Source organism: Homo sapiens, chromosome 18 (assembly GCF_000001405.40).
Source record: "Homo sapiens chromosome 18, GRCh38.p14 Primary Assembly".
Taxonomy (NCBI): domain Eukaryota; kingdom Metazoa; phylum Chordata; class Mammalia; order Primates; family Hominidae; genus Homo; species Homo sapiens.
Window position 1 is genome coordinate 3235124 of NC_000018.10, and position 12358 is coordinate 3247481.

At 44.1% G+C, this 12358-nt stretch overlaps 1 protein-coding gene across 1 annotated transcript in view; it reads right to left on the reverse strand.

Moving 5' to 3' along the window:
* The window catches only part of MYOM1 (myomesin 1), a 180570-nt gene extending 168317 nt beyond the window's left edge, over positions 1-12253 (reverse strand). Inside the window, exon 1 of the mRNA XM_047437910.1 lies at positions 10952-12253. The gene's annotated coding sequence lies outside the window, so the exon portion shown is untranslated. The remainder of the gene's footprint in view (positions 1-10951) is intronic.

A 12358-nucleotide genomic window follows, 5' to 3' on the forward strand; every position in this document is an offset into this window, starting at 1 on the left:
AATTTATACCATGTCATCTCAATACATCCTCCATGATTCTTGACAGCACTTCTACATTTTTTTCTTTTTGTCTCTTTGTACTGTGTTTGGGTTAAGGCCTCAGTACTTCTAATCCATTACCTCAAAATGTCCCAAATGATAACTGTCATTTCCTACCATTACCACACTCTGCCCTCCAAACTATTTCTCCTCCTTACTTCAGTGAGTGGCCTTACCATCTGTCAGAAATCTTGAGCTTCTCCCAGACTTACCCTCTGCTAATCCTCCATACTATTACTAGAGTGCTTTTTAAATAATACGATTCTGAACATACTAATCCCATACTTAAAATGTATGCATGGCATCCCACTGACCTTTGAAACATGGCTTAGAAGTCACTGAGGACACAGTCCCTGCTTCCCTTGTTGGCCTCATGTTTCTAAATTTTCCCTTTATATTCTGCCTTCTAGCAATTCATTCATTCAAATATGCATCTTTATACATTGAATGCCTATAATGTGCCAACTACTCTTCTGGACCTTGGGATACTTTAGTAAACAAAGCAGCCAAAAGATCCTCTTCATGGAACTTAGTAGGGGAGACAGATGGTAAACAAAATGAGTAAAGTGCCTGGTGTGTTGGAAGTAATAAGTGCAATGGAAAAAATAAACCGAGAGAGGGGAACGCTGTGGGTGGAAGCTGGGTGATGGAGACTTAAAATGGAATGACCAGAGAAGGCTTTACTGAGATGGTAGTATCTTCTTGAAGATGCGAAAGAGTTGAGGGCATGAGTAGTGAAGAATCTGAAGAAAGAGCATTGAAATCAGGAACATCAAATGCAAAGGTCTTGAGGTGGAAAGTTATGTGACTTGTTCAAGAAACATTTAGGATGTCAATATGGCTGAGCAGACTGGGGAGGGCAGGAAGTAGGAGAAGAGGGTGGGGAAGTTCCCAGAACCTGAGTTATTGGGCCTTGCAGGCCATGGTAAAGCACTGGGCTTTTACTCTGAGTGAAGTAGGACACTTCACTCAGCATAGTCACGTAAGTAGAGGTGGTAGGACACTTCACTTCACCATGGAGGGTGTCAGGCAGAACAATGATGTGCTCTAGTTTATAGTTAAAGGATTACTCTATCTGCTATGTGGAGAACAGACTATAGGAAGAAAAGGAAGTAAGAAAACTACTTAGACCTCTTTAGGAGGCTTTAACAAAAGTCCAGGCTTGAGATGAAAATGACTTGCACTGGGATAGTGGCAGTAGAAGTGGTGAGACTTAATAAAATTCTGGATATATTTTGAAGGACTTTGCTAATAGGCTTGTGCTAATTATGGTTTTAGGCCATGGAGATACATCTATGAACAAAGAAGACAGAAAATCCTACCAGAATTGACTGAAAAGTTGAGTGAGGGGCAGGAAAGAAAAAGAGGTGGCAAAGGTGAGTCAAAGTTTTCGGCCTGAGCAACTTAAAGGATGGAGAAGACAAACAGGATGAGCAGGTTTTGGAGGTAAGATTAGATCATTTGTGGAGTGTGAAGGTTTACATGCCCAACAGACATCCTCATGGAGCTGTCAAGTGAGAGGTTAGATATGTGAGTCTGGAGTAAAGGTCACAGGTCTTGGCTAGAGATACACACTTGGTGATCGGTGTATAAGTGGTATTTAAAGCTATGAGAGTGGATGAGGTCAGCTCAAAAGGACGGCTGACAGAAAAGAGAAGAGATCCAAGCACTGAATCCTAGGCTACTCCATGTGATTAGCGAAATTAGGAGGAATTGGCAAAGGAGACTGAAGAGTAACCACAAATGAAGGCAGAAACCAGGACAGTGTGGCATCCTGGAAGCCAGAGAAGAAGGTATTTCAAAGGTGAGGGAGTGAGCACCTTTTCTAATACTATTTGAGAACTGTGAATTGGCTATGAGGATGTAGAGGTCACTGGTGACCTTGACGAGCACACATTTGATGGAGTGGTCAGAAAAAAAAGATTTATTATAGCAGATTCAAGAGATAATTGGTCAGAAAAGGATCACTGAGAAAGAAAAAAGTAAAAACTAAAATAAAGAGAGAATTGGGTTTGTATACCCATGTTCATAGCAGCACTACTCACAATAGCTAAAATGTAGAAGCAACCCAAGTGTCCATCAACAAATGAACAGATAAGGAAAATGTGGTGTATACATATCGTGGAATATCATTCAGCCTTAAAAAGGAAAGACATGGCCGGGTGTGGTGGCTCACGCCTGTAATCCCAGCACGGTGGGAGGCTGAGGCAGGTGGATCACGAGGTCAGGAGATCAAGACCATCCTGGCTAACAAGGTGAAACCCAGTCTCTACTAAAAATACAAAAATTAGCCGGGCGTGGTGGCGGGCACCTGGAATCCCAGCTACTTGGGAGGCTGAGGCAGGAGAATGGCGTGAACCCGGGAGGTGGAGCTTGCAGTGAGCCGAGATCACACCACTGCACTCCAGCCTGGGCAACAGTGCAAGACTCCGTCTCAAAAAAAAAAAAAAAAAAAAAAAAGGAAATACATTCTGACATGTTACAACATCGGTGAACCTCAAGAACATTATGCTAAGTGAAATAAGCCAGTCACAAAAAGACAAATACTCTTATGATTCCATAACTTACATGAAATACTTAGAGTGGCCAGAATTCTAGACAGAAAGTAGAATGGTGGTTACTGGGGGAAGGGAGGAATGGGGAGTTATTGTTTAATGGTCATAGAATTTCAGTTTTACAAGATGCAAAGAGTTATGGAGCTGGATGGTGGTGATGCATAACACTACAAATATATTTAATCCACTAAGCTTTTAGTTCCCAACCTTTTTGGCACCAGGGATCAGTTTCGAGGAAGACGATATTTCCAGGGACTGGGGCAGGGGTGGCGGTCGGGGGGCAATGATTTCAGAATGATTCAACTCATTACATTTATAGTGCATCTTATTTCTGTTATTATTACATTGTAATATATAATGAAATACATATACAACTCACCATAATGTAGAATCAGTGGGAGCCCTGGGCTTGTTCTCCTACAACTGGACGGTCCCATCTCAGGGGTGATGGGAGACAGTGACAGATCATCAGGCATTAGATTCTCAAAAGGAGAACATGACCTAGATTCCTCGCAATGCACAGTTCACAATAGGGCTCATGCTCCTAAGAGAATCTAAAGCCACTGCCGATCTGACAGCAGACAGAGCTCACGCAGTAATGTGAGCGATGGGGAGCAGTTGTAAGTACAGACAAAGCATCACTCCCTCCGACCTGGGGGAGGGGGGAGGCAGGGGGTGTTGGGGACCCCTGCACTGAGCTATACAATAAACATGGTGAAGATGGGAAATTTCATGTTATGTACATTTTACTAAATTGGTGGGGGGGTGGGGGCATCGAGAACCAGTGAGTACAGGTGACTTGGTGACTTATTTAAAGGGTTTTCTATAAGGGAGCAAGAAAATAGGACAACAGCTGAAGCGAGTTTTTGTTGTTTGTTTGTGATACGGTACATTAGTTTTTTATTGCTGCTGTAACAAATTACCACAAATTTAGTGGCTTAAAACAACACAACTTAGTCATCTTACAATCTTGTAGGTTGGAAGTCCAATGTGGATCTCACCAGGCTAAAATTAAGCTGTCAGGGAGACTGTGTTCCTTTCCTGAGGCTCTAGGGGAGAATCAGTTTCCTAGCCTGTTTCAGCTTCTAGAGGCTTCCTGCATTCCCTGGCTCCTGACCCCTTCTTCCATCTTTAAGGCCAGCAACATTGTATCTCTTTGACCCTTCTTCCACAGTCACATCTTTCTCTAACAGTCTTCTTCTGCCTCCCTCTTCTTCCAAGACCTCTTGTGGCAACGCTGGGTATACCCAGATAGTACAGGATAATCTCTGTATTTTAAGATCAGCTCATTATTAACCTCATTCCATCTTCTCCCTTGATTCTCCTCTGCTGTGTAACCTAACACAATCACAGGTTCTGGGAATTAGGACAGGGATATCTTTTGGGGGTCCTTAGTCTGCTTATACATACGGGGTACATTACAGCATTCATGTTGATGGGGATACTCCAACAGAGAGAACTTGATGATGCAGGAGAGGGCAGAATTGCTGGTGTGGCATGAGCAAGAAAACAGAGGAGCTGGCTTTCTATAGGAGCAAGGAGAGTTCCTCTCTAGTTAGCAGGAGAGGAGGGGGAGGACAATGCATGAAGACAGATGTTGGCTGGTGGGTAAATGTGGTGGGGGCTCGTGAGAGCCATTATCTTCTCAGTGACTTAGCAGCAAGGTTGTCAACTGAGAGTGAGGATAGAATAGAATGTGTTAGAGGTGTGAAGAGACAAAAGTTATAAAACTGACATCAAATAGACAAGAGCATGGGCCAGGGGATGGTGCCTCATGCCTGTAATCTCAACACTTTTGAGGCCAACGCAGGCAGAGAGCTAGAGCTCAGGAGTTCAAGACCAAGCCTGAGCAACGTGGAGAAATCCTGTCTCTACAAATAATACAAAAATTAGCCAGGTGTAGTGGTGTACACCTGTAGTCCTAGCTACTCAGGAAGCTGAGGTGGGAGGACTGATTGACCCTTAGGAGGCCAAGGCTGCAGTGAGCCATGATGGTACCACTGCAGTCTGGCCTGGGTGACACAGCAACACCTTGTCTCAAAAAAAAAAAAAAAAAAAAAAAAAAAGAAATTGAGAGAGCGGAGCATGAAAAGACTAGAGAAATGTTGTGGGCATCGAGGGCCCACTTGAAGTCTGTGGTCATTAACTTAAAGTGCAACCACTTAGCTTGTTTCCTACACTCAAGTGGACAAAGAATTCATATATTTATTAGTCAGAGTAGTAAATTTCTCCCTAAGAAATTTACATGGATTATTGTGCTTTATCCTCACAACCACTGAATAAAGTGGGCACTATTATTATGCCCTTTTACAGATGAGGAAACTAAAAGATTGGCTAAAGTAAGCATCGACTATAATTTTTGTTTTAGGTATTAGTTTTATTTCGGGGATTCAAAAATAATATTTGTGTCATAAGATTAATTTAGTAAATGTAATTTAATCACTACGTTTATTCATTAACGAACTATTATAGTATCACTATGTTAGGCTATATACTTCAAAACAGCTTAGATATCAGGAATCTTTGTCTTTTAACAGTTAAAACAGCATTTCTCCAGTTAACTATCAGAGCCAGTGATATGGTTTGGCTGTGTCCCCACCCAAATCTCATCCTGAATTCCCACATGTTGTGGGAGGGATCCGGTGGGAGGTAACTGAATCATGGGGGCAGGTCTTTCCCGTGCTGTTCTCATGATAGTGAATAACTCTGACGAGATCTGATGGTTTTAAAAAGGAGAGTTTCCCTGCACAAGTTTTTCTTCTCTTGTCTGCCACCATGTAGACATGCCTTTCATCTTCTGCCATAATTGTGAGGCCTCCTCAGCCACATGGAAATGTAAGTCCACTAAACCTCATTCTTTTTTAAATTGCCCAGTATCAGGTATGTCTTTATCAGTAGCATAAAAATGGATTAATATAGCAAATTGGTACCAGTAGAGTGGGCGCTGCTGAAAAGATACCCAAAAATGTGGAAGTGACTTTGTAACTAGGTAACACACAGAGGCTGGAACAGTTTGGAGGGCTCAGAAGAAGAGAGGAAAATGTGGAAAAGTTTGGAACTTCCTAGAGACTAGTTGAATGGCTTTGCCCAAAATGCTGATACTGATAGTGACAATGAAATCCAGGTTGAGGTGGTCTCAGATGGAGATGAGGAACTTGTTGGGAACTGGAGTAAAGGTGACTCTTGCTATGTTTTAGCAAAGAGACTGGTGACATTTCGCCCCTGCCATAGAGATTTGTGGAACTCCGAACTTGAGAGAGATGATTTAGGGTATCTGGCAGAAGAAATTTCTAAGCAGCAAAGAATTTAGGAGATGACTTGGTGCTGTTAAAGGCATTCAGTTTTGTAAGGGAAGCAGAGCATGAAAGTCTGGAAAATTTGCAGCCTGAAAATGCAATAGAAAAGAAAATTCCATTTTCTGAGGAGAAATTTAAGCCGGTTGCAGAAATTTGAATAAGTAACGAGGAGGTGAATGTTAATCCCAAGACAATGGGGAAAATATTTCCAGGGCATCTCAGAGGTCTTCATGGCAGCCCCTCCCATCACAGGACTGGAGGCCAAGGAGGAAAAAGTGATTTCATGGGCCAGGTCCAGGGTCCCTATGCTGCAGGCAGCCTAGGGACTTGGTGCCCTGCATCCCAGCTGCTCCAGCCATGGCTGAAAGGGGCCAAGGTACAGCTCGGGCCGTGGCCTCAAAGGGTGCAAGACCCAAGCCTTGGCAGCTTCCACATGGTGTTGGGCCTGCAGTGCACAGAAGTCAAAAATTGGGGTTTGGGAAACTCCACCTAGATTTCAGAGGTTGTATGGAAACACCTGGATGCCCAAGCAGAAGTTTGCTGCAGGGGCGGGGCCCTCATGGAGAACCTCTGCTAGGGCAGTGCAGAAAGGAAATGTGGGGTGGGAGACCCAACACAGACTCCCTACTGGGGCCCCACTCAGTGGAGCTGTGAGAAGAGGACCACTGTCCTCCAGACCACAGAGTGATGGATACACCGACAACTTGCACTGTGTGCCTGGAAAGCAACAGACACTCAGCGTCAGCCTGGGAAAGCAGCCAGGAGGGAGGCTGTACCCTGCAAAGCCACAGGAGCAGAGCTTCCCAAGACCGTGGGAACCCACCTCTTACATCAGCGTGACCTGGATGTGAGACATGGAGTCAAAGGAGATCATTTTGGAGCTTTAAGATTTGACTGCCCTGCTGGATTTTGGACTTGCTTGGAGCCTGTAGTCCCTTTGTTTTGGCCAATTTCTCCTATTTGGAATGGCTATATTTACCCAATGCCTGTACCCCCCTTGTATCTAGGAAGTAACTAACTTGCTTTTAATTTTACAGGCTCACAGGTGCAAGGGACTTGCCTTGACTCAGATGAGATTTTGGACTGTGGACTTCTGAGTTAATGCTGAAATAACACTTTGGGGGGCTGCTGGGAAGGCATGATTGGTTTTGAAAAGTGAGGACATGAGATTTAGGAGGGGCCAGGGTGGAAGGATACGGCTTGGCTCTGTGTCCCCACCCAAATCTCATCTTAAATTCCCACGTGTTGTGGGACGGACCCAGTGGGAGGTAATTGAATCATGGGGGCAGTTCTTTCCTGTGCTATTCTCATGATAGTTAATAAGTCTCATGAGATCTGATGGCTTTAAAAAGGAGAGTTTCCCTGCATAAGCTCTTCTCTGCCACCATGTGAGATGTGACTTTCATCTTCCGCAATGATTGTGAAGCCTCCCCAGCCACATGGAACTGTAAGTCCATTAAACCTCTTTCTTTTGTAAATTACCCAGTCTCAGGTATGTCTTTTTTTCTTTTCTGAGATGGAGTCTTGCTCTGTAGCCCAGGCTTGAGGGCAGCGGCATGATCTCGGCTCACTGCAACCTCCGTCTCTCAGGTTCAAGTGATTCTCCAACCTCAGCCTCCCGAGTAGCTGGAATTACAGGCACGCACCACCACGCCCAGTTAATTTTTGTATTTTTAGTAGAGATGGGGTTTCACCATGTTGGCCAGGCTAGTCTCGAACTCCTGACCTCAAGCGATCCAGTCACTTTGGCCTCCCAAAGTGCTGGGATTACAGGCATGAGCCTCTGCGCCTGACCTCGGGTATGTCTTTATCAGCAGAATGAAAACAGACTAATACTGCCAGATAATTTATTATCTATATAATCCTTATTCCTTTTTTTGTTTGCTTTATTCATATTCTCTGTTCTTACATCTCATTTAGTATTTTAATTTTTCTAAGCATGTATCTATTTAACTTATTTTTTCAAATTTTCTAGTATGGAAGTAATAAGTATCCCCAAATACCCTTAATTCAATTTCACATAATTTTTTATCTCATTTATCATCCCTGACTTTAATGATAATTCTGACTAAAGTTTTTTAAAAAGCAATTCTTTATATATGTAGAATCTTCTATATCTTTGTAATATATTATTTGTAGTTTTGGTGCTCTAAAATTAATTATTATACAGATTTATGTAAACGCTTATTCATTTAAAAGAAAGGAGCTCCTCCTACTGTTTTCCTGAATTAAAGGATTAATGCTAATTGTTACATCATAAATATTTCATGTATGAAGAATTAGAATTCCATGTATGTAGGCAAAACCAGAATGTAAGCCATGTCCCTTAACATTCAATAGTTTCTTACATGCAATAAAAATTGCAAGTGATCCATATAAAATCATTGACTTAGGTTGTAAATACCAAGGATCCATTCTGCTATGCTTCCTTGCTGTTGTTTGGGTAACGAAATTTTCCTACTTTGGACCAAAGGAGAAAGCACAGTACAGTAAAATAAAATATGGGCTTCGGGCTGGGCCACTTACTAGCTATGTGCACTTGAACAATTGACCAGTTACCATGTATTTACCGGCACCTGTGGATATTAGGCATTGTATTAGGAGTTAGAGATATGTGGATAAATATCCACATATTTACTGTTTTCCTTTCTATTCTACCCCCGGACAATCAGAGACAGGATTTATAACCCAGGTTCTTTCATTACCTTTTGGGAAACCTGTGCAGATCATTCAAGTATTTGAGCTTGTGTCCCAATCAATGAAACGGAGGTAATAATGTCTATCTCACAGGGTTGTTGTAAGAATTATATATTAGAAATGTTTATATAGAATACCTAGCACATAATAGGCACAGATAATAATAACTGTCCATTCCATTTTTTTCTCCCTTTAGATCTCACTTGGGGAAAAAAAACACCACCACCTTACTCTGAGGCAGGAGCAATGGATAGTGACCTTGTAGAAATTATAGTACTCCCGAAATAATTGATTGCTATAAATATTGAGTTTCCAAATGATTAGTGCTGGGTTTTCTCAACCTAAGCACTACTGACTTTTTGGGCTGAATAACGTTCTGTTGTCGAGGGCCGTCCTGTGCATAGTAGGATGTTTCGCAGCGTCCCTGGCTTCTCCCCACTAGATGCAGTATCTGTCCCGTTTGTGAAAAGCAAAACTGTCTCTCCAGACATCGCCAAATGTTCCTTCAGGGCAAAACCCAACCACCACTCCTCCACTATTGAGAACCACTGCAATAGTGGATCATAAGCTCACATTTAGTGGGCCTTGAGAGGTATTCTAAAAATTAAATGACATAGAATTTGCTATGGACTGAATTGTGTGTCCCCTCCCTGCCAAATTCATATGTTGAAGGCCTAACCCCCAGTGTGACTGTATCTGGAGATATAATTAAAATATAATTAAGGTTAAATGAAGTCATAACGGTCGGCCCTAATTCCATTAACACTGAAGGCTCATAAGAGGAAGAGATCCCAGCCATTTGGGAGGCACAGACGGGCAGATCACTTGATGTCAGGAGTTTGAGACCAGCCTGGCCAACATGGTGAAACTCTGTCTCTACTAAAAGTACAAAAAAAGAGGCCAGGTGTGGCGTCTCATGCCTGTAATCCAAGCACTTTGGGAGGCTGAGGCGGGTGGATCACCTGAGGTCAGGAGTTGGCAACCAGCCTGGCCAACATGGTGAAACCGTCTCTACTAAAATACAAAAAAAAAAAAAAAATTAGCCAGGCGTGGTGGCACATGCCTGTAATCCCAGCTACTTGGGAGGCTGAGGCACAAGAATCACCTGAACCTAGGAGGCAGAGGTTGCAGTGAGCTGAGATCGTGCCACTGCACTCCAGCCTGGGCGACAGAGTGAGACTCCATCTCAAAAAAATAAGTAAATAAAAGTAAAAAAATAAAAATACAAAAAAAAAAATTTAAAAAGGAAAAAAAAAAAAGAGGAAGAGAGTGAGATCTCTCTGCCACATGAGAACACAGGGAGAAGGCGACTGACTATCTGCAAGTCAGGATGAGGGCCTTCAATCGAATTGGCCAGCACTTTGATCTTGGACTTCCCGGCCTCCAGAAGTATAAGAAATAAATTTCTGTTGTTTAAGCCGCCCAGTGTGTAGTATTTTGTATGGCAGCTAAAGCAGACTAATAACAGAATTGAAAAGAACAGAATAGAAATCCTTGAAAAACATTATAGGTAGTCAAGTATTTCTTAGTGAAATAAATTTCTTACTATGAGTATTGGTCAAAAGATTGAGGGAGGATGGCTTGAGCCTGGGAGATGGAGGCTGCAGTGAGCTGTGATAGAACACAGCACTCCAGCCTGGGCAATAGAGCAAGACCCTGTTTCACTCTATTTGGAGCAGAATTCAAGTCTCCAAACTTTTAGTAAAAACGTGAGAAGGAGATTATCACATGGAGGCAAAGATCTCCCATAGGGTCCAAAGGATAGAAATATCAGAGTCAGAGGCCTTTGATGGTGGGTCCAGTCATGAAAACTGAGTATCAAAATACTAGGTGGACATTTGAAGAACATTTTATCGAGATGCTATTTTTCCACATTGGTTGACTAACCGTTTTTAAATCCATAGTTGTGGAATGAATAAATGAATGAATGAACACAGACTACACAATTCCTGTTCATCTTCAATCAGCCAGGCCCTCTGATCACCTCCAGACAATCAGGCATGCTGCTCCCTCTGCCTGGCATCTCCCTCTCCTTTTCTTTCCCCACTGAATTAATTCTAGAATTAGCTCTTTAACATCCCCTGGGGGACACCTTCCACTAGTTCCCAGACAAGTTTACGCTTCGTTTGTGCTCCTTCAATAGGCCCTAACTAACTGTACTGCAATTATTATATCTGTTCCACCCTTGTTCCCTGATACTCCGCTAACTCCGCATTTTTTCTATTCCTCCCGCCCCCATCCCCAAGGTAGCAACAACTATGTTCTGCTCCGGAAAGCATAAGCCACAGCCCCCACCACAGTGCTTGGCAATGCGGTTGCTGTTTAATACCTGCTGACTGAGTGGAAGGAAGACAAAACAATTACCTGACTCAAAGAGAAGCAAAAGAATGCTGCCTTCAAGCTGAGGGGAAGACTGAACTGTCCGTTTCTTTCTGCTCTAAAGTGTCCTCTGGAGAGGACGCTGGCGGAGCTGGTGCTCTCGTGGTGGCAGGCCACCACCCTGTGGAGGTGTCCATGCATTGCAAGTGCTCGCAAGCTCCAGGAACAAACGCATCCGCGCAGCCGTCTGGGGTTTGTCCCGTCGCTGCCAGCCCTCTCGCTGAGTCCCCGCCCTCGCCGATAAGAGCCCACTTAGGACCCCCATTACATGGATGGCTTCCCAGGACCTGCCCTTAAAGACTCCGATTTAGTAGGTTGGAAATGACGCAATTATTTTTATTTTTAATTAGTACCCCAAGTCATTCTTTACCATCAAGGAAGTTTGGGAAACAGATCACTTTTGTTTCAATCACCTGTGGAACTGGAGCAGTTATTTTTTTCCCCAGCGACTTTACCACGAAGTTAACTTTGGAATACGTTAGTGGTTAATACACGGAACGTTCCCGAGATCCCTCAAGAAAGAAGCTACGAATACTTAGAAGATACTATTCCGCGGCGTTTACAGCAACACTGTCCGTTCCAGAAGGATTCAAGTGGCGGCCTGCTTTGAAGGCGAAGACCACAGGGCAACCCAAACTTCAGAAGGGTTCTGGCCACGGGAGCCACACTGGTCACTGTCCCCTAGTGCTGGGATGACGGCTCGAGTGTTAGAGGATCCCACTCTCTCCTCTGGTAGGTGAGGTCAGAGAGCTGAGGGGGCCAGAACAAGTCTTCCTTATCGGATTCTGGGCGGAAAAAGATAAAGTCGGGGAGGACTTTCTCTTTTTAATAAGATTCATCGTTACGAATTGTTCTAGGCAAGCAGACCTCAGGAGAAATAGGCCCAAGTTTTGATTCCTGTTTTCACCAAGTCGCAAGTCCTAATCGTAGCAAGAGGTGCGGGGAAGAGTCGCCTTCCTTCCTGCATAGTGGGATCCAAGTCAGGCTGTCCTTGTTAGCCAGGGTCAAAGGGGCTCTGCCAGGGAAAAACGACGGCAAATGTTTTTCAAGAGGAAGTCTCCAGCCACTTGTGACCTGGGAAATCCGTCTGGGCCAAAAAGATAGTGGAGGCTTGGCTGAGGGCCCCAGGGACACACGTTTCCTCCCGTATGGAGGGGGCGGGACTCTTAATAAAATTACACTGCACACAGAGCTAGCATCAAGATCCGCTCCCGGGATACGCGCACTGCTCCGGGGCCCTCAGGCGGAGACCCAGACCCCGCGCGGGGCGTCAAGCGCAGGCGCACTACCGCCCACAAGCTGGAGCCCGGCTTCGGGGCGGGGCGAGGGTCAGTCACGTGGGCCCGCAGCCCTCTCCTCGATTTCCCTACAAGGACTTGGGCCGACGGGCCC